Source organism: Homo sapiens, chromosome 10 (assembly GCF_000001405.40).
Source record: "Homo sapiens chromosome 10, GRCh38.p14 Primary Assembly".
NCBI lineage: Eukaryota > Metazoa > Chordata > Mammalia > Primates > Hominidae > Homo > Homo sapiens.
This window is the reverse complement of record NC_000010.11, coordinates 49129915-49151774: the sequence shown is the minus strand read 5'-3', so window position 1 is coordinate 49151774 and position 21860 is coordinate 49129915. Positions and strand designations below refer to the sequence as shown.

At 46.1% G+C, this 21860-nt stretch overlaps 1 protein-coding gene and 1 long non-coding RNA gene across 2 annotated transcripts in view; one reads left to right on the top strand and one right to left on the bottom strand.

Annotated features, from left to right (window-relative positions):
* Positions 1 to 227: 227 nt before the first annotated feature.
* Positions 228 to 21860, bottom strand: part of FAM170B-AS1 (FAM170B antisense RNA 1) — a 29709-nt gene continuing 8076 nt past the window's right edge. The window contains exons 2-6 of the long non-coding RNA NR_038973.1: positions 15694 to 16119; positions 10408 to 10522; positions 8687 to 8845; positions 5875 to 5993; positions 228 to 970 (exon numbers count right to left, since the gene is read on the bottom strand). This is a non-coding gene — a long non-coding RNA (FAM170B antisense RNA 1). The remainder of the gene's footprint in view (positions 971 to 5874; positions 5994 to 8686; positions 8846 to 10407; positions 10523 to 15693; positions 16120 to 21860) is intronic.
* On the top strand, positions 17754 to 20621 carry FAM170B (family with sequence similarity 170 member B). Its single transcript, NM_001164484.2, has 2 exons — positions 17754 to 17968; positions 19423 to 20621. The coding sequence occupies exons 1-2, from the start codon at positions 17857 to 17859 to the stop codon at positions 20160 to 20162; spliced, it is 852 nt and encodes a 283-aa protein (NP_001157956.1). The 5' UTR covers positions 17754 to 17856; the 3' UTR covers positions 20163 to 20621.

The following is a 21860-nucleotide window of genomic DNA, read 5'->3' as shown; positions in this document are numbered from 1 at the left end:
CCCCATCCAGACCACCACATGACATTTAGTCACAGCATTGCCTTAGGCTCCTCTTGGTTGTGACAATCTCTGAAACTTTCCTTGATTTTGATGACCTTGACAGTTTTGAAGAACTCTGGTCAGGCATTTTGTAGATTGGTCCTCACTAAAGTCTGTCTATTTTTCTCATGAAGATAAATTTCTTTTAAGCTAAGTTTAACATAAAATTGATTATAATTATGCAAAAACCAAGTGTTCACCAATCTTTATTATTGCTCATAAAATTAGCCAGATAGCTGGCAAATCCCACTTAAGTTTGAACTGGGTAGGCTCAGTAAAAAGGAAAACTTTGCCTGTGTAAATAATGCAAAGCAGATGTTTCTAATGAGTGAGGGGCTGCTCTGGTTAGCATCATGCAATTGCCATGTGCTTTAGGTAGCAACACAGTCCGGGAGAGCACCTGGGGCTCCGTGTAAGGCAGGGTAGATTGGACACTGCTGTCTTTCCTCATCAAGAGAACACCAGCCACCTGTGCTCACCCTGTGGCTAGGAGCTCCTGGTAGTGTGCTCTGAGCTCTCCAGAGACATGGATCAGAGCTGCTCATTATTTATCTCAGCAAAAAATGAACCATAAGGAAGCTTTTACAATGTGGTTCTGATCTTTATCCTGTTTCCTGAGTTTAATTCAAGAGATGGCAACAAATTGTGAGTCAAGCACAACTGCTGACTGGCAGAAAAGAAATTGAAACCAGGTCCAAGAATCACCCCAAACATGTTCTGATGGGGTATTTGCAGCCAGCAGCAAGGGCTCTACTACTGACTGACTCCAAGGGGTGGTATTTTGTGGACTTCTTCCCACAGCATTCAGAGGATGGGGCTGTGGATGGTGCTCTTCTCACCTCCGTTGGCTTCTGAGGTCTGCTCTCATTGACGGCTCCTGCTCCTCCTGTCAGCCTTGACCTGGGTTCCTTCTGTCCGGATGGAAGTGGCACTGACAAACATAAGGAAATGGTCAGTCTCAAAAGGAAAATAAGACACAATGGAACAGGAGAAAACCTTCTCAGGGGATGGTGGCAAGCACCTGTTATACCCTGTGGATACTTTACTCATGTAAATTATATCTGCACTCGTAGCCTAGCTTTTGTAGACACAGCTGCATGCACTCTAACAACCCACCATTATGATCAGTGTGCCCCTTTGTGGATGGAATCGTTCCTTCTCACAGTTCAGAGTGTGGGCCTAATCCAGCTGGCTAAGGTCTAATTCCTCCTGGCCAATTGCTTACTATCTGTGCGCAACCCCTGACAAGTGACTCAACTTCATCTTAGTTTTCTCGTTTGTAATGACCATGATGGCCCTAGGGGGTTGCTATGACTTGCCAAAGAGTTATTGCATGTAAAACACTTGGAATAGTGTCCAAAATGTGTAGGTGCTCTATAAATGTTCCCTCTTCTAAAGTATGGTATGAGACACCATGGGAAAAAACAAGGAAGACATAGATGTGGCCTTAACAGAGGAAACCACAGGCAAACAGGGTAAGTGAGTGCTACTTTTGAGGTGTGAACAGGGTGCTGTTGGATCCCAGGAAAAAGAGAAAATCACAGTGGCCAGCAGAGCAACATCTCTGTCTGGACACAAAGGAGTTTGTTGGTCAGAAAAGCAGACAGGGCATCTGGCACCTGGCAGGGTGTCTGGCACCTGGCATGCCAATGCCTGGAAGCATGAAATCACATGGCAAGCTGGGATGGGTAAGTAAGGACATTGCTGTGCACAGAGCTGCGGCTGAGTAGAAGGAGGGTCAGGAAGTCTATGGAGACAAACAAGGTGCTAACGTGTTCAGCCATTTGGTTGTCTGGATTTTGTGAAATCAGTTTTCTGTTTCACAAAGCGAGTTGCAGAAAGACAATAGGTAATTCTGTGAAATGGAAGTTGAGAGATGCGGAGGGAAGATCCAGGAGTTCTAGTGCTCGTTTAATAGGTGTTCTAGGAGGAGGGAGCAGACAGAGCACAAAAAGGACAGATCAGACAAGAGAACACAGTTTACCAGAGCTGCCAAAAGACACTAGACCTTGGCTTCAAAGGAGGATCCAGTGAGTAATTGGCCCTTAAAAGAAAAGAAGTAGGTAGGTGAGCTCCACATTTATTTAGATCGACTTCTGAGGACCTGTTCCCATTTACACTGCATACAGGGCAAGAGAGTTTAAGCAGGATGTGACAATCTTACTGTGCTAGGAAGACAGAGGTTGGGGCTTGATGTTGTCATAGTGGCTAGAATTTAGGGGAACAATCCCAGAAAGGAAGCAACTTTTGATTTTGGAAGAGACCCCAACTCTGCTTCAAAATTCCCCTTAAATTGATGGGTGACTCCTAAACTTGGCATGCAGAGAATGAAATGCCAAGGGGCTCAGTGGAAAACAACAGCTGGAAGGCTAAAAAGAGCTGAGCAGAGATTTCAGCAGCTGTCCTGCCATTGAGAGACAAAGTTTGAAGTTTAAATCCTGCCAAAGTATTAATAGAAGGACTTAGTGTGATGCTTAATTGTATGTATCAACTTGGCTGGGCCACAATGCCCAGATAGTTGGTAGAACATTATTTTGGATGTGTCTGTGAGGGTGTTTGTGAATGAGATTTACATTTAAGTTCGTGGACTTTGAGTCAAGCAGATTGCCCTCCGTAACTTGGGTGGGCCTCATCTAATTATTCAAAGGCACAGACAAAGCAAAGCCCGAGCAGGAGGGACTTCTGCAGCATGTGGCCTTCAGGCTGGAACTGCAACCTCAGCTCTTCCTGGGTCTCTAGCCTGCTGGCCCAGACTGCACGTTGTACTTGCCAGCTTCATAATTGTGTGAGCAAGTTCCTTAAAATAAACCACTTTATATTATATATACATATATATATATATATATATATATATATATATACACACACACATACATATACACGTGCACACACACACGCACACACATCTTGTTGGTTCTGTTTCTCTGGAGAACGCTAATATACTTGGTAAGCACAGCTGGCTTCCCATGAAAACCAAGACTAGGGGTTGTGCTCTAGGACTAGAGACAGAACTGAAATAGACCCAGTCAACACAGCCTAAAACCAGGATTCTCTAGAATCAAGGTAACTTACCAGTGATGTAACTTGCCAGACTAATGATTTGTGCCCAGGACTTAATTTTAAAGGTGACTGAAAGACAACACAGAGAGCTCATGTCATGGAAGGAATAATTTATTACAGTACTTACACTTCCTAAGAGAAGGGGACATACCATGTCCCAAGAGGCCACAGGGAGGAAGCACCAGGTTTGGTCAAAAGGTAGAAAGAGCCAGAGAAAAGCATGGCCCAGAGCCTTTATTGAGCTTTCCATGGGAAAAGCAAGGCAGGAAAGGGGAAGCAACTTAGTACTGGCTAGTGTGGATAGGGTTGGTGGGCTCTGGTCTCCAGTTGTCTGAATGACTGGCCCTGAGTGATTTAGGGCAGGAGAAATACTGGCTTGGTGTGTGAGAGTTAGGTAAAGAAGGTGGTTGGGGCACACACTCAGGATAGATGAGAAAGTTTGGGATAAATTTTTTTTTTTTTTGGAGATGGAGTCTCACTCTGTCACCCAGGCTGCACCCAAGGTTCAAGCGATTCTCGTGCAGGTGCGTGCCACCACTCCCAGCTACTTTTTGTATTTTTAGTAGAGATGGGGTTTTGCCATGTTGGCCAGGCAGGCCTAAAGTGATCCGCCTGCCTTGGCCTCCCAAAGTGCTGGGATTAGAGTTGTGAGCCACTGTGCCCAGCCAGGGATAAGATTTTTCAGGCACCTAGGGAAACTGGACTGCAGGGCAGATATATACAACAGTAGCTGTTAGTTTGGCCCTGTAATTAATGGATGCTTAGTAGACAAATACAGAATCTAAGAAAACATAGAACAACTAAGCATCAACACTCTTCAAAGGAAGATAACAGAATCCAGAGTTTCTATAATGCATCAACCACAATGTTTAAAGGAACAATACCAGGCAATCAAAAAAGCAGGAAAACATGACTCTTAACAAGAGAAAACAGACAATAGAAGTAAACCCATTATAATCCAGATGTTGAAATTAGCAGTTAAGGACTTAAACAATTATTGTAAATATATATATATTTTTTCAGGTGAAATGAACAGAAAGGTGAACAGAGGGGAATCCTTGGCAGGCAAATGGAAAGTATAAAAGAGTCACATGGAATTACTAGGCTTTAAAAATGCCATATCTAGCCTAGGTCTTTGCACTTGCTGTTTCTGCTACCTGGAAAGCTTTTTCTCCAGGTTCTTGAATGGCAGATCACTCTCTCCACTCAATGTTCTTCCCCCACATTATTCTGCAGGGAGGCCTCCCCTGAGAACACTCCTTTAGTTATATATTCACTTACCATGCTATATTTATCATGAGGACACTTATTGCCACTGGCATTATGTTATGTATTTATGCTTGCATCCATCTATTTTTTTTTCATCCTCCACAGTAATGCCAGCTTCTTTAGGACAAGGATTTTGTCTTTTTCACTGCCAGGGCAGTGCTGGGCAGAGAGCAGGTGCTTAGTAAACATTTGTTGCTATTCCTTTAAAAATATCCAAATAGTATAAGCAACTATAAAGAATATTTTTATAGAAATAATTTGAACATCCAGATAAAATGGGTTATTTTCTTCCCAAATTTAAATGACTATGTTTGCTCAAAAAGAAGTTGAGCCTGGGTGTAGTGGCTCACGCCTCTAATCCCAGCACTTTGGGAGGCCGAAGAGGGCAGATGACCTAAGGTCAGGAGTTTGAGACCAGCCTGGTCAACATGGTGAAACCCTGCCTCTGCTAAAAAGACAAAATTAGCCAGGCATGGTGGTGCGCACCTGTAATCCCAGCTACTTGGGAGACTGAGGCAGGAGAATCACTTGAACCCCAGAGGCAGAGGTTGCAGAAAGCTGAGATTGCACCACTGCACTCCAGCCTGGGCAACGAGAGCAAAACTCCATCTCAAAAAAAAAAAAAAAAGTAAAAGAAAAAAAGAGGTTGGGAAACTAGCTAGGATAATTACCATAGGGAGAAATGGAAAATAAAAGTTGTACTAGTTACTGCCTAAATCTTCCTCACTGAATCCCTATCAATTCCCTGTCCCTCTAACAGTCTAAAGCAATATCTTTTCCCACATGCTCACCCATGTTTTTTGCCTTTTAAACATTTTGCTATTTTTTTTCCTAATTGAAATCATTTCCAATGGTTTAGTCAGTCTTTTATTGCGTGCCTTTTCTAGTTTTTTTGTTACTGTAAAACACATGTAACAAAAATTCTTGTGTATATTCTTTTGCCATAGACACAAGAATTTTTCTAGGGGCAGATAGAATTTTTACTCCTAAAACTGCAGTTTGCATGTGGCATTTCCACTGTGGAAGAAGTCTGAGCATTAGTGTTACTGGGGAGGCTGGTCTCCAGGGTTTCTGGAGCACTGACATTGGAACAGAAGCATGTTCCTCTCTGGCCTCTTTGAGTTTACACCTCAGGTTTGGCTCCGATTATGCCAGGCTGCTCTTGGAGGCAGAGAGGTCAGAGCTGCTTCTGCTGCTTCTGTGGGTGAACCTGGTTGAGAGAGCCCCCAGATAGGAGAGCAACATGGACAGAATGAACTGTGAGACCAGAAAGGCAAACAGGGTAGCAAGGTGGTGAAAACAAGCTAAGATTAGAGATCAAAGTCAGCCCAATGTCTGAGTGAGGTGAAGGTGGGGACGCTGTGACCACAGCAGTAGGCACAGGCATATGTTAGGCTCAGGGTTCCGTGGGTGTTGAGAAGGTCAGCAGGGGAGGGCCAGGGTGCATTCATTGCTCTTCTCTTTCTTGGGAGTAGCTCGCTTAGAGATGAATTTTATCCCCACTACCTGGGTGAACAGATATGGAACCAGCCTTCAATCAGGATACAAATCTCCAGGAGCAACAGCAGGCACTGAATCCAGAAACTCTTAGCTCATCATGGTGGCCGTGGATCTACAGCTCAGCCCTGAGGAATGAGCAAAGCTGTAGACAAACACATGCAGGGTTTTATGCCCCTGAACCCTAGTGCGCTCCTCCTAAGAAAAAGCCCAAGGCCACTGACACCACTTCCTAGAGAAGGAGTTGGGCAGAAGAGCTGGTTGGCAGAAAGGGGATCTGCCTTCAAAAAGAGTTTCCACAAGTTTCAAGGGAGTGAAGCTTTGTAGAAAGAAAATAATGTCCAAAGAGGGATTGTTTGGGGAAGTTTTGCCACTTAAAACCCTCAATGTCTCTTCAAGGAAAGATAGATTCCAGCCAGGAAGGGCATGAAATGGTCTTAGGCAAGCTAAATGCATCTTCTCTCAGTGACTTTCTAAATGGGCATGGTAATGACTCACCCAACATTAGGGAAGAGATGGTAAAAAGGGGAGAAAGAAAAGAACAAAATCAGAGGACGGTGACAGGAGGTGACTTTGACACCTGGAACCTGCAGGCGGGGGCAGGTCACATTCTCAGACATCACGTGGGGGCTGGAAGGGAGCCCCTCTTCCACTGCCGCATTCTGAGTGGGGAGCCTGTGCTGTCATCTGAAAGCCATGAGGGAGAACATTGCAAGGTCATATTTGGGCCCAGGCCAGTTGAGAAAACTTGTGGATGTACTGCAACTTCTAAGCTTCAGCGATTGTCCGCAGAACCAGTGAGGTATTCTGCTGCCCAAAAGGAAACATCTCCTCAATTAATGATAATTTATAATATGTGCTTAGCATTTGCCTGGCACAGTTTGAAATAACCACTGTAGAGCTGTGTTCACTTTTGCAGGATGGAGACATGGTAATACCAAGTCTGGGCTCACACTGGTTCTTTATGGGGCTCTGCCACTTAGAGGAATTGATGGATGGTGGTGGCTGGAAGAGCTGTTGGCTGGGGCAGGTGTCCTGAGCTGGGGAGGGCAGAGGGAGGCACTGGGAGGGCTCAGGTGGGAATGGATGAGGATCCGGCTTGCTGGGATGGAAAAAGCCTGCACTCTGTAGATAGACATGGGCGTTTGGCTCCGACGCCTGCTACACAACTCGGCAGCTCTGTGACCTTTAAGCAAATTCACCTGGAAAATGGGGAAGAGGGGCTCAAAAATCATCTGCTCTGGGACTACCATACTTGATGACATAATGAAATTACCACCCCATTTAGAAAGTCACTGAAAGGGAACGGTTTAGCCTGCCTGTGGCAAGTCATGTCCATCCTGGCTGGAATCCATGTATTCTTGAAGGCAAATGTGCTCTGCACCTGGTTGGTGGTGTAGGTAAATGCTGACTGTTTTCTGTTCTACAACCATGGGGCTAAGAAGACAGTTCTGGGTGGGCCATCCTTCCCAGCAGCTGGAGCAGCTAATTCAGGTCTCAAGTGTCTGAAGCCTCAGTCATACCCAACTTCCCCCAAAAAGGTTGGAATTCTTGGCCACACTCCCTGGCGCAGTCCCCACAGCTGGAGAGGCTGCCCTGGCCTCCCCCACAGACCCTCTCCACCCAAGCCTGCCCCTAGGGTATCTCTTCCTGCAGCCAGGCCTGGAGCTTGCTTGCCCAGCTGGCTTTGATCAGGCTCACTCTGAGCCACATGTTACTGTCTTCATCTGTTATTGTTTATGTTTCCTTGCAAACAAATGTCACATCTTTCCCAGGAGCCTCTTCCCATCCAGTTAGGTTTTAACCCCTTGTGGTCAGAGGCAGGTTTCCACTCCTCAACCTAGCCTCTTTTCTGCACCCAGTGAACCGAATGCTCTGGAACCCAAAGGCTGATGTCCATTCAAGGGATCCAGGCTGAGAGACCTGTCCAGGGGACTGGTATGGAGCATCTTAGGACAGAGTGGCCAGGAGTCATGGGGCTTTGTAAAATCTTGCTTGTGGGCCTATATGTTTTTTCCAGCCTCATTAGCCTTTAAATAAAGCTGGAAGTAATTTATTGCTTATTTTCTTACACAATTATCATAGAAGAAGATTAACAAAAGGATGGGAATCTCTTTTTCGTACAAAGAAATGTTGCTAAGGCTTGTCATGTAAAATTTCAGACTTTACATGTGTGTGTATATATGCATGCATGTTCTAGGTTTTATATAACTGGGATTATTTGGTATATGCTTATAATCATAATATTGTGAACAGATTTTCCCATGTGCTTTATTCACTACATTGAATTCCATTGTTTAGTTGTTCCATAATTTACTTAACCTAGGAGTTCTCAAACTCTGGCAGGCACCAGAATCAATCCAGGGAAGGCTGATTGAAACACAGATTGCCAGGCCTCACTGCAGAGTTTCCCAACCAGCAGGTCTGCCTGGTGTGGGGCCTGGGAATTTGCATCTCTAACAAGTTTCCAGGTGAGGATGATGCAACCAAACCAACTTAGCCCAACCTCCACCTCAGGCACTTAGGTTGCCTCTGAGTTCACTCCCATAAACAATGCTATATTGAACATGGGCTGATGAAAATGGGCTAATAAAGACACAGTTTTAATTTATTAAGGGGTCAATTTCTAGAGGTAAGATTGTCAAGACAGATGGTACCATAGGTTTAAAGTTTTTGCTACCTATTGCCAGAACATTAGTTTCAATTTATTTTTCCAACAGGGGACACCAGTTCTGGACCTCACGTTGATTTAATTCTTGTTTTTCTAGTGAGAAGTGCCCACCACATCTAGCTAATGTCACTGAAAAAGCTAGGTTCCCACCTTTAGAGCTCTGTGAACCCAGGAAGCCCCCTCATCTGTTTGAGGCTCAGCTTCTTCATTCATTAAAGGGGAAAGAACACTGCTCTGCCCACCTGTCTGGGCTGTAGTGAGAATCATGAAATGATGATGGAGCACCCTTCCTAAATTGCGACTTGTAATCTGAAAGATCAAAATAAACACCGCTGTATCAACTAAGACAGACACCAAGGTTAAGGAAACAAAGTTACCTACAGGTTGGTTCAGGGCCTGGCTGGCATGAGTAATCTCTATATTCCTATGGCTCCAAACTCCCTAACAATGGTGCTATCAGACCCCTTCCAAGTCTTATTTACAACCCAGTCACTACAACTCTGATTGGACAGAGGATGCCCTTACCAACATTCTTTCTTGATAAGCAATTGCAGACCTTAAGCCATTTTCAGCAGCTTACAGAGGCTGTGCACAAACTGTCTTTGTGTCATATGGTTCACCTTTTGTCATAAAAAGCCAAATTCTACTTCTTTTAATGCTAAAACCCTGCCTCAAAGTAAACATGGGATGTATGTGACATACATGTTTACCCACTGTGCATGCACTTGACTCTCCTCATAAATATGTACAGCTTTTCCCCCAAACCTGCTGCATACATAGGATACCAGCCTTGTGAGCCGTGAAACCCAAATTGCCCTTCCCCTCTTCAAAGACAGAGCATCTTGGTACTTGCCAGAGACTGTCTCTTTACAGTTCCCCAACTGCTATCACCAATAAGGATCTCCTTTTCACTATTTAGTGATCCTGGTGGTCTTTTGGACGACAGACTCCTGTGCAGGTGGGAGGGTTCTGAGCATTTCCCTGACCAATTAAAATGCAGCCCATATAATGGGAACTGTTCTAGAAAGTTAGCATTATTGGGGAACAGGTTGCTTGAGAGTTTATATTCACGGCCACACTGTTAGCTCAGGTCATCTCCTATGGGAACCCCCAGTAGTGTGATGGTAAATATTCAACCACTTGCTCCTGGCCGGGGAGGGGGAAGCCCCTGGTTTTAGCCTTTGCTTATTACCATGGTGTAAATACTCCCACCAAGCCCTCTAACAAGCTGCCACTGTGTCTTAAAATGTAGTAAAATAATTAGGATGTGGAGTGTTTGAGTATTTATTACTTTCATGTTTAATATAATTTATTTAATTATAAGTTTATACTATTTTTAATGTTGATGATGGCTGTGTTTAACAACTGGCTTCAAAGTTCTTGAAAGATTTAACAACTGGTTCTCATTAGCCAGTACCAGCTGGCCCCAGCACACTACTAGATGCCCCTCTTGGCCATAAACTCATTAAAAATGCAAGTCACTATGCCATTCTTGTGGAGGAAAGGTTATACTGGTTATATTGACTTTCATTTTTTACATGTGACTGAGGGCTACACATTGGTAATCTGACTTAGTTTGATTCCAAATGTTTGGCACTTATATTTTAAAATAGTCCCAGGCTTCCCGAGGATTGAACTTTGGGGTCCTGCTAAGACATCTGGTGCTCACACCACGCAGCCAAGCTCTCCAACACACATCTCCTGTGGAGACAGGCCTTGCAACGTGGGGGAAGTAGGCTTTGTTTCCAGAAGCTCATCAATGAGGTCTTGAGAGATCAGTTTCCAGTTGCTGCTATTTTGCCTTTTAATTTTCTTGGTTTGGCTTTATTGTGATAGATTTAATTTGCTGTGGGTTGGGTGGTGGAACCTACCGTGTTACTGCTCCTGGTCGCATCACTGCCATTTGTGGCCTGAAATTTCCGAAGAAGCCAACTTGAATATGTGAATTCATTGTGGTTCAGATAAGAGCCATTTACACCGCTTTCACTAAGGCAGAAAACAATAGAAAAAAATAACCTTTTGGCTTGTTTGGTGATATTTTACCGTAATGTATCATGACCTGTGAATTTGTGCTACATAAATAGCTTAATAAATGCTGTTTCCAATAAAGTAAGAATGTATTTGCTGAGTTATCTTCAAAACAGGAAATTGTTTCAAAGACATGAATCAAAATTTAAATATGCAGATGCTTATAGTCTTGTCTTGCAAAAAATAATTCATACTTTCTCCCTTCTCATCTTTGTCATATTTGTTGAATTCCTGAGAGCCAGGGTGGATTTGGGACGGCTTCTGAGGAGAGCTGCCTTTTCCTTAGAAGGGAGCCCCAGCTGACTGCCTGTTTCACACTATGGCTGGCGGGTCTCTTTCCTCCCCAGACATGGATGGTCATGGTGCTTGCTGGTCAGGTGGGAGCCACACTGCTCGGCCATCTCTAGCCACTCCCTGTTGTGCTGTGGATGTGCCAGATCTCAGTTCTGCCCCACTAAAGTTATTGCCTCTGTGAGATAGTCACGTGAACATGCTGGCACTTGGAGCAGTGGAGGATTGTTTGAACCAGTCCTCCATATTAGAGCAAAGCTCACAGAACTAGAGCAAATCTCACAGGCCTGGGGTGTGGTGTGTGTGTGTGTGTGTGTTTGTAATGTTGGGGGTGGGGAGGTGTGGTGGGGATGGCAGATGGGGTGTTGGAAACCAATGTCCCAGCCAATGTCCAGCCAGTCTCACTGCACTGCAGGGGGGCATGACTGAATGGACTGCTTCCCCTCTGGCTGCTAAGCCTTGGCCTGGGGCCTTTCTTGGGAATTTTCCTGTGGGAATTTGACATGGCCTGATCCAACCTTCCCAGAAGTTCTCCACCCTATGCATACTTTATTCCAGGAGGGCCAGGGATCCATTCAAGACTTTGGGTGCTGTGCGGGAGAAGGGACAGTTGCTGGCCTCCTCAGGACACTGGGATTATCCATTAAACAACTGCATCATCTCTCTGCAGGACAGGCTGGGAAGAAGCATCTTCAGCCATGCCTTTGAAATAGCTATTCCAATTGTGGGGATTAAAATAAGTCATCCCAGCTCTGCTCAGGAGTTTTCTGTGAACATATTTTCTGCTTTCCAGCCACAGACATCCATTAGTCTTGGATGTGGGCTAAAAGGAACATGGAATCAAGCACAGCACACTTTGACGTCAAGGTGACTCACTGTCAGCCTCTGGGTCCTGGGTTCTCACCCTCACACACTTAGACATCAAGGTGACTCACTGTCGGCCTCTGAGTCCCCGAGTCTCACCCTCCAAGTCAGAGCTGTGCCATGCTGCAGGAAAGCTGGCCCAGTAGAAGACAGGAATGGCTCCTGAGGGCTGTGTCCAGCGTGGCCTGTGGCCAGCCCATTTTGGACATAGAGAGAGAGAAGACCCCTTTCCCTAGAGCTCCCACCATGGCTCTCCAAGAACATACACAGGATGTGGCCAGTGCTGGGATCCTGTGGGATCCTGGGATCCTGGGTCACGTGCATGGCATCCAGCAAGGAGTCTTTCCTCTCAGCTGAAGCTGCCCTTCCAAGGAAGCGTGTGTTGGAAGAAGACACTTCTGCATCCCACAACCTTGTTGAACATTCACAGCCCTGCTGGGCCAGAGCTGAGCAAAATGCAGCAGGCTCCAGGCCAGGTGGGGCTCTGGGGCCTGGAGCACAGCCATGCCATGACTGAGGACCCAGCCCCAGGGACCAGCCCCCTCCTGGTTCCCTGATGAGAGGGAAGGCCTTGGCTATTTGTGTGGGCACTCTGAGGTGAAGGCCAAAACCCGAGACAGCGCCAAACAAACCCACCAAAGGAGCAGCCTGTTATTATGTCTAAAGAAAAACAAAAGCAAAACTCCCTTTCCTATTTGCTTGGGGGAGCTGAAGAAGAGTCCTCCGGATTACATTTCCCTGTGGCTGAGCTGAGCCTTCTGTGGTCCACTGACTCACTTCTTTTAAAATAGTTACAAGAAGCAACAGAAAATAAACCCAAAAGATAGTACTTCCCTACCCCACTTCTCAGTTTGTCTGATAGCTTTTGGCACTTTCTCTGCAGCCCAAGCACACAATGAGGTCATCCCTAAGCCCTGAGGACTGACCTTCACTGGGAAAAATTCCCACTCTGAACACCACCAACCCCACTCCATGCAAACCTGCTGCGCAGCATCCGGGCAGCTTCCCACTTCTCCCCTGCCCTCGGGTGTTAAATCTGATAATAGGATAACTTTGGGAGGGTGGCAAGGCACCTGCCCCCTTAGAGGGGCCCCACTTTCGGTGTGGAGAGAAGAGCAGGATCATTGCCCGTTTGCAACACCTTTACACAGTGGCTCTAGCCACAGAAATGCCATGATTAAGACCGAAGCACCACCCCTTGGCCAAATGGACAGATTATTTCTGGACTCCCATGGACCCCAGAATGAATGATGTGATTCTCCCCACAGCCCAGATTGGGGCGCAAGCCAAGCTCTGGAATTAGAAGTGAAGAGAGACATGGCCTCTCTGCTTCCTGCTGTGGCTGTGGCCACTTTATTTCCTGTTAGCCTCCTCAGCTGGGAAAAACAGAGGCTGGGAAGAGTAGGTTTTGGAAGAAAAGTTAAGAGTAGAAAATATTCCAGGCCTCTTGGATGAGGTTTAGGGCTCGCATGCAATGTGTGCAATGAGCTGGCCAGGCGTCAGAGCTCCAAGAAAGTGCTGCGTTGGTCCTTTTGGGGGTTTGCACACCAGCCCTGCTGGCTGCAGCAGTGAGGCGCAGAGGTTCCTGGCAGGGCTGGAAAACCCACTGGAGAGTGGCAGGGGGATGGGTGGGAGCCCTTTGTGGGTGGTCTCAGCTGAACATCTGCATGGAGCAAGCAGAGCGGCTGGGGCAGAGGCTCTTCCCATAGACGGAAACAGCCAGAGGCCATGTGAGTGAGGAGGACAATCGCTCACCATCTGAGGGGCTTCACTCCAAACTAGCCCCAGGGAAGTAGCCCATAGGAAACATCAGAGCAACCTGGCCATGCAGCCCTGCCCCCAGGCGTGAGATGGAAGCCACTTCTCTCCCAGCTTTCCCACCCAAGGTTCATCAAACCCCTCTGAAGTGCCAAGCTCCCTATCTCTAAGGAGGGTTCACAGTGTATAATTTTTGAGAGGATTAGGAAGAACGTATATAGATTCTGGGTAAAGAAAGACCCGACTCAAGGGACTTTGGAAAACATCGTTTGGATCCCAAATTGTAAAGCTTTTGCCTTTACAAAAGCAACCGTATATAAACATTGCAATCTAGTAAGTTGTTTCCTATGGGGTAAGAATGGGAACCATCCTCCCAAGTTGTCCTGGGAAAACCACAGGGCTCACCTGGCCCCCAGGTTTCCCTGACTGGGCCAGGAAGAAGCACAGAGCACAGATGCTGGTTAACGAACTAGCTCACTAGAACATATTTAAATATTACAAGGGAAAATCAAAGTCCATTGAATTACCATGCCCTGTAACAAATTGCCCCAGAAACTAGTGTGTAAAACACCTTTTCTTATGCTCACAGTTTTCTTATGCTCACGGTGGGTGGGGAATTCCAGGAGGGCTTGTCTCTGCCTTGTGATGTCTTGGACCCCAGCTGAAAGACTTGAAGTCTGGGAAGCAAAATTATCTGAAGGTTCCTTCACTCACACATATGGTGGTTGATTGAGACCTTTGCTGGGGCTGCTGCCTGGAACACATCTATGTGGCCTCTCCATGTGGCCTAGGCTTCCTCACAACATAGTGGCTGAGTCCAAAGGAGAAGGGAGACAGAACCAGGAGGAAGTCACATCTTTTATGATCTGGCACTGACAGTCACAAAACATCACTCCTGTGCATTCTGTTGATTGAGGCAGTTACAAAATCCACCCCAGTTCAGGAAGAAGGACGCTGTCGTGTTATCAGAAGAGCATGTGGGTTGTGATATAGATTGGTTTGGCCATCTTTGGAAAATTTGGTCTCACACAGCCCCACCTAATCTTTTTCCTCTTTCTTGAGGTCAACACTGTTTTCTCTTGGGTGTGATTATTTTCAGATCTCCTCTGTGCCTTTTGATACATAGACAATATAGAATTTGGTCAGTGCTTTTGAGGGAGTATGTTTGATTTTTACATAGGTGGGGTCATCTATCTATTCCTTGTATCTTGTGTTTTCATTTAACATGAATTCACTTATCAGTATGTATAGATCTCTTTCTTTTTATCGTGGTGTAGTATTCCACAGTTTGATTATGTTGTAGTTTCTTTATTTTGATGGATCTTAGGAAAGTCTCCTGTCTTTATTTCTATTATACACAATGCTGCAATAAATATTTCTCTAGGTGCTATTTTATGCACATATCATGTAATGTGGCTGTTCCCTAGGAAAGAGATGATAGTAAACTGCTTAGGAAGTGCCTGCCCACTTTTAATTCTAATGGGTACCACCAAACTTTTTGAGAAAGTTAAGGTACACTGTTCCAACAGAGAATAAAAGTGTTCATTTCCTTACGTCCTCACCAGCACTGGGTATTGTCCATCTTTTTAACTCTTACCTATCTCATGGGTGAAAAGTGCTATACTGTATACTACACATTTTTAAGTTGTAGCTCCCTTATTACAGTAGGACTCAACATCTTCTCATATATTTATCATCCCTCTGCATTTCTTCCCCTGGAAACTGCTTGCTCATTTGCTTTTTTTTCCAGTTCCACTGAAAAGCAGAGGAATGCAAATTGAAACAGTGAGTTTTTTAAAGCAGTGAAATTAGAAAAGATGACAAAGTTTCTCAATGCTTGCGAAGACTAATATTGTTTAAGTTGAGAAAAAGCACCTTGTAATTACAAATGTTAACATATTTTCTTTCTACACATTTTTCATTAAAGCGTAAGCTCTGAACCATTATGAAAATATTCTTAATTGTTTTACATGAAGTGAGACCAAAGTTGATTCAAAAAAATAGCGAATATAATTTTTCAGCATAATTTGTTGGCTGAGTCTCCTTTCCTCCCAGACTTGCTGTTTACTTTGCCGCTTAACAATTCTCCATGATGTCATCTCTCTCTGAACTGCCTTCCATCCCCCAATGACCTACTTATTTTCTGTGCTGGCTGCCCCCTCTTGTTTTTGTAAGGCAAGTCTTTGTATTTATTTGTTAAAAAAGGGTGCACTTACACTATTTCCTCTTTTAGCCAGGGGACGTAGTCTTCTGTTTAGGTCAGGCGTGACTTTCATGGCTCAGTAGAGCACCGTGGTGTCTTCCTCCACACAGTGGCCTCACATTCTAGAGAGGAGGGTATTCCTCGGTGCTGGGTGTGTGGGGGATGTTGATGTTGCTTGTGGAATATTGGGATTATTTTCAATCCATCACCTATCTGAACTGTTTAGTATTTGGGATTCAAAGGAATAGAGTTGATGAGACTGACCAAGGGTGGGAAGAGATTAGCCACAGAGGGAAGTGGTAAGAAGCTTGTTGGAGGAAATGAGTGAAGTGCCAGCGTGTTGCAGAGCAGAGAGATGGCAGGTGAACATTTTATCAGGCTGATTGAGGCTGAAGCGTGGTTTGTGCAAATGGAGAAGGAAGAGGCAACTCCCAGAGTCCTAGTGGGAGAGAACCAACCACCCTGGAACTGCAGAGATCCAGGGAGCACAGAGGAGGCAGCTCCCAGAGGGAGTAACGCCTTTTTCAGCCCAACGTGTTCATCAGCTATTTACTCATTATTTCCTGAGTGCTTGTTAATATGTAAAACATTGATCTAGACACTAGAGATATAATGAGGTGGATGGAACGAAGGAAGTCCCTACCTGCCTAAGCTTACATCTAAGGAGGAGAAGACAGATACAGGTAAACCCATGAGATACACACACAGACATTATATACAGCCTAGGGTGGTAAATGCTATCATGGAAAAATAAAGCAGGGTAAGGTGACAGAGAGTTGTAGGGCCAAAGAAAGCTCTTTTCCTGGGGGTGCCAGGCAGGCTCCTCTGACCAGGTGATGTTTCAGAGGAGACCGGAAGGAGAGAGAGCCACACAGGAACCTAGGGGAAAGCCTGGAACAGGCACAAGGAAGAGCAAGTGCGAGAGCCCAGAGCCCGTGAGGGGAGGATGCCGGGCATGTCCGGGAGCAGTGAAGTGTCTGGAGTCACAGGAACTGAGCAAGGGAGTGAGTAGAGGAGAGGGGAGGGGAGGGGTGGGGTGGGGTTGTGGAGGGTTGAGGAGCTAAACAGGGTCAGCGTGGGGACGTAAGATGGGGGAGAGAAGGAGAGATTTTCCACACTGGGAAGCAGGGTCATTTTATGTTGGCTGCTGACTGTATGTATGTGAGCCTATGTATGGTTAATTAATCTGGCATGAATTTGTGTGCATGTATGTGTGTGTGGTTAAGTAAATATGTGTGTGAATTTGTATGTGTGAGCATGTTATGTGTCTATGTGAACACACGTACATATGTTTATGTTACTGTGTGTGCCATATGTGTTCCAGCGTATATGTGTGTCTGAGTGATCATGTATGCGTTTCTTTGTGTGTGAGTGACATAGTATGGACATGTGTCCCCTTCAAATCTCATGTTGAAATTTGATATCCAATGTGAGAGGTGGGCGTAGAGGGAGGTGTTTGGGTGACGGGGACAAATCCCTCATGAAGGGCTCAGTGCCACCCTCGTGGTAAAGAGTTCTCACTCTTAGTTCTGTGAGAACTGAGTGTTGAAAAGAGCCTGTCACTTCCTCCACTCTTTCTTCCTTCCTCTCTTACCCATGTGATCTAAACACACCTGCTCCCCTTCCCCATTTGCTGAGAATGGAAGCTTCCTAAGGCCCTCACCAGAAGCAGATGCTGGCACTATGCTTTGTGTACAGGCTGCAGAAACATGAGCCCAATACACTTCTTTCTTTTATAAATTACCCAACCTCAGGTATCCCTTTGTAAGCCACACAGATGGACTAAGACAGCGGTTCCATGCATGCTTAAGTGTATACAAGTGTCTCTGTGTTTATGTGTTTGTGTTTTTATGTGTGTCTAAGGAGTTAAGAGTATGTGTGTTTTGTGTTTCTGTGTGTCCATGATAATACACAAGACAGAAAAGGAGTTCCCATGGGGAAATGAGAACATGTTGGGAAGCCTCTCCTGGTATCCAGCCTCAGCCTCTGCCCTCGCCATGGGTCACAGAACAGACCAGTGCCATCGATGAGGTCACACAGTAGAGCTAGGATCTTAGCGACCATGGGGAGCTCAGTGTCCACTCTGGCTGGGGCCAGCTGGAGGCCTTCAGTACAGCCCCAGCCAACTCTCACTGAACAGCTGGAGCACCGACACCCTGGGCACTCATTTCAAATCATGAAATGCTACTTCACAGATCACAGGGGAGAACAGTCACCCACCGATGGGACCACCCTCAGCTTGACCAGCCCTGAGTCCACTGAGGAGAGTGTGGAAGTGTTCTGGCCAGGTAGGTGAAAAGAAAGGCCTGGAAGGTCAGCCAGCTGTGCTCCCTGGGAAGGAAGCCCTGATGGGAAGGGACAGTGCCAGGTTGCCTCCTGATACTGTTACCAAATGGTTGTGTTGACCATAAACATAGATGTGGAGGGAAAGGAAATTGATATTTATGGGACACTTGGTGTGACTGAGGCTGTTATGAGTATATAAGGTGTTTTCAGGGGATATGAGAATGAAAATGTAAAATGTTTATAATTATGTATTTATTTTAATGTGTATTTGAGAAAACAACACGTCCATCCTGTGATTTCAGCAGTGAAATAAAAAATTCCTTTATAACAAAATGATGAAAGTTAATCTAGAACATCAATTTGAAGACCGCGGGGACGTGTCTGTGGGCAGCACCTAAGTGTCACACCAGCTCTGGGGGCCCAATGGCTCCACCACTCATTCAAACTCCATGCCTCTCTTTCCTACTCTGTTGAATGGGAATCCTAACAATATAATTTCTTAGGGTTGTTTTGAATATTAAACTTGGCAAGCACTTCCATGGCAAGAGGGACACAGTAAGTGTTGAAGGAGATAGTGAGATGCCCCCTCGGGAAGGTGAAGACAGGTCACAAATGTTGAAGAGGATGGTGGGTCTGGGTGGCTTGGCCAAGGCACTTTGCATGTGTTGTTTTTTAAATGGGCTTTACTGAGGTGTCTTTTATGCACACAGACTTCAGCAATTTTAAATGCACAATTTAAAGAAGTTTGACACATGTACATTTGTGGAACCACCAACACAGTCATGATAAAGAAGATTTTTCAAAACCCCTAAAAGTCCCCTTGTGCCTTATTATGACCAGTCTCCTCTCACCCCGTCCCCAGCTCTGGGCAACCACTGAGCTGTTCTCTGTTGCTAAAAATTTGCCTTTTCTAGAATGTCATCTGAATAAAATCATATACGACATGGACTCTTTTTTTTTTTTGTTCACATTCTCTTATGACTACATGGCCTTTTTAATTGGCTTCTTTTATTTAGCATAATGCATTCAGGATTCATCCGTATTGTTGCACGTCTCAGTGGTTCATGGATTTAACAGGTTGCATCATATGGATACACCTCAGTCAGCTTACCTATTCCCCAGTTGATGGTCTTTTGCTTGGTGATTACTCTAATACATTATTTGATCCTTATCATCATATCCCTAATGTGTATATAACTCTGTTATTCACCATTTAATGGTCTTTCTCAGTTGAGTCAAGGATTTGGTGATTGCATTCATACATTATTCAATCATTACCACACCCTATGAAGCAGGCATTATCACCATCTTCATTTTTTCAGGAAATGGGCAGAGGGGGCGGTGTTTGCTCAAGAGCTCCCAGAGCCTGTACCCTTTCAGAGTCTGCGGCTCCTGAAGGTAGATGTGGCATTGATCCCTTAAAGGGCACTGATGACAATGTCCTTCTGCTTCTCAGGGACTATACAGAGAGAAGGGTCGTCCCCACGGCCGGGGCCTGCCATTCCCCGGGAGGAGGGCCTCTACTTCGCTGCCAGGGACCGGGGGATGCGGGACTGGAGCAGCTCCCCATCCTCAGAGTCCTCCGAGTACCAGTCCTACTCCCAGTACCAGTCGTGCTGCTCCTGCATGTGCGATGAGGACAATGCTGCTCCGCAGAGTGTGTGTGCCTTCTACACGCACGTGCAGACTGTGCGGGGTGTGGCTGTGGCCTGGGAGACGGAGGCCGGCTTCGAGCCGGTCACCAGGAAGCCCCGCATCCATGAAGCCCAGTTCATCAAGAGGCAGAGGTGGAACGGCTCCTCCTTCGAAATGGCTTCCAACACCGATATGCGCTGGGACCTGGAAGCCTGCAAGAGCAACTGCAGCCCCGAGCCCGAGGACATAGACCTGCTGGAGTGCTGCCTGCAGGAGCTGCGGGAGCCGCCGGACTGGCTGGTCACCACCAACTACGGGGTGCGCTGCGTGGCCTGCTGCAGGGTCTTGCCCTCCCTGGACGCTCTGCTGGAGCACGCCCAGCATGGCATCCGGGAGGGCTTCAGCTGTCAGATCTTTTTTGAGGAGATGCTGGAGAGAAGGCGGGCTCAGGGCCAAGCACATGACCAACAGCTGGAGGAGGAGCAGAGTCCTTCAGACAACAGCGAATGTTCCCGGCCCCAGGGTGAGGTGCTCTCAGCACAGCAGCAGGAGAAGCAGTGAGCCAGAGGGGAGATACCCAACCCTGCCCTCACCTCCAGGGCCTGGGACTGCTCCTTCCCCAGCCAGCAGTATCAGAGCCACTAGGGCAGGGAGAGAGGACCAGGGTCAGGGGGAAGGAAAGGCATGGAGTGTAGAGCAAGGAGGGCCAGGAGACTGGAAGGAACCCCCTTCCTGCCCTAGGCACAGCATCTCCACCAGAGTCCATTTCAAAACCCAAACGAGAGGGCTTTGAGTGTTTCTGATGGCAGGCACAACATCTGAAACCCACAAACGCATGGCCAGAGGGATTTCTATTTTTGCCGGTGGATCAGGCAGGTCCACACTTGCTAAGTATATGTGGGTCACAGGACAGCCAACTGCAAATTACTCTCCAGCCCTATTTTTTTCACTATTACAAATCTGTCATATGCCCTAGTTCTATGTCTTATGTTATTGGGATTAAACTTGAATAACACAAAATTGAATGCAGTGACTAACTGAGTGAACCATGCTGTCATATTGGACACATGGGAAGTTGCCATTTCCATAGGTTACAAACTAGCAGAAACACCTGGAGACAGGCAGCTTCTCAAGGTAGAGCAGGAGGCTGGGGATGTCCTTCTGACCTATGAGTTCATCTATGTCAACTATACATTTTTAAATGGTGCCATGAAATTCATCTTCATCCTTCTCCCTGTCTCAGGGGGCTGTGTTCATTCAAGAAAAATTAATTGTGGACCACTGTGTGTTTGAGATGCTGATGGAAGACATAGTCCAGCCTCTGTTGCTTCCAGTGAGAGACAGTTAGAATGGGCAATTGCAAGGCAAGGGGATGAATGACATCAAGGAGGTTTGGGGAGCCTAGATGAGGGGCCCCAAGTTCAAGCTGTTTGATCAGGATAAAGAACTTTCCAAAAAAGATGATGCTCCCGGGGGCTTAAAGGAAAAGCTAGACCAGGGTTCCTCAACCAGCACTGTTGACCCTGCATGCTAATTATTTGCCGCGGGGGCTGTCCTGTCTGCTGCAAGATGTTTACTGGCATCCCTGGCCTCTACCCATCCGATTCCAGCAGCATCCCCTGCCCCACAGTTGTGAAAATCACAAATGTCTTCAGAAATTAACAGATGTTCCCTAGGGACAAAATCACCCCTGGTTGAGAATCACTGAGCTAGACAGGAACAAGGCTGTGAGGAGAAGAAACAGACATGATACATTTGGGGAATTGCTAGCTACTTCATCTGGCTGGAATGCTGGGGGTATTTGTCTCTCATATAATTTATAAAGATGTGCCAGACATTGAAGTGGACATGGGGAATAAGTGAACAAAGGGAAAAAGGCAAACATGGATGCTGCTCTGTGGAGCTTATAGCCTGAGGGCATGCATGTAAAATAATTATGAAAGTTCCCATTTCATGACCTAAAGGGTCCTGTGTGGCCGGGCCTTTGCTACTTTCTCCACACCATGTCTTAGCATTCTGTGCCTCACTCACCATGCTCCAACCACATGGGCCCCTTTCTTTCCTTAAAGGATTCAAGTGTTTCTGCTTCAGGGCCTTTGCCCTTGCTGTCTTCCCCAAGTAGAACGCACCCTTGTCTGTGTCTCTTCTGGCTGTCCCCTTGCTCATCTTTGAGGTTGCAGCTTAAATATCTCTTTTTCAGAGGGTCCTTTCCCAATCACGCTGCCTTAGCATATGCCTTATTCTAAGTGTGGATGGTTT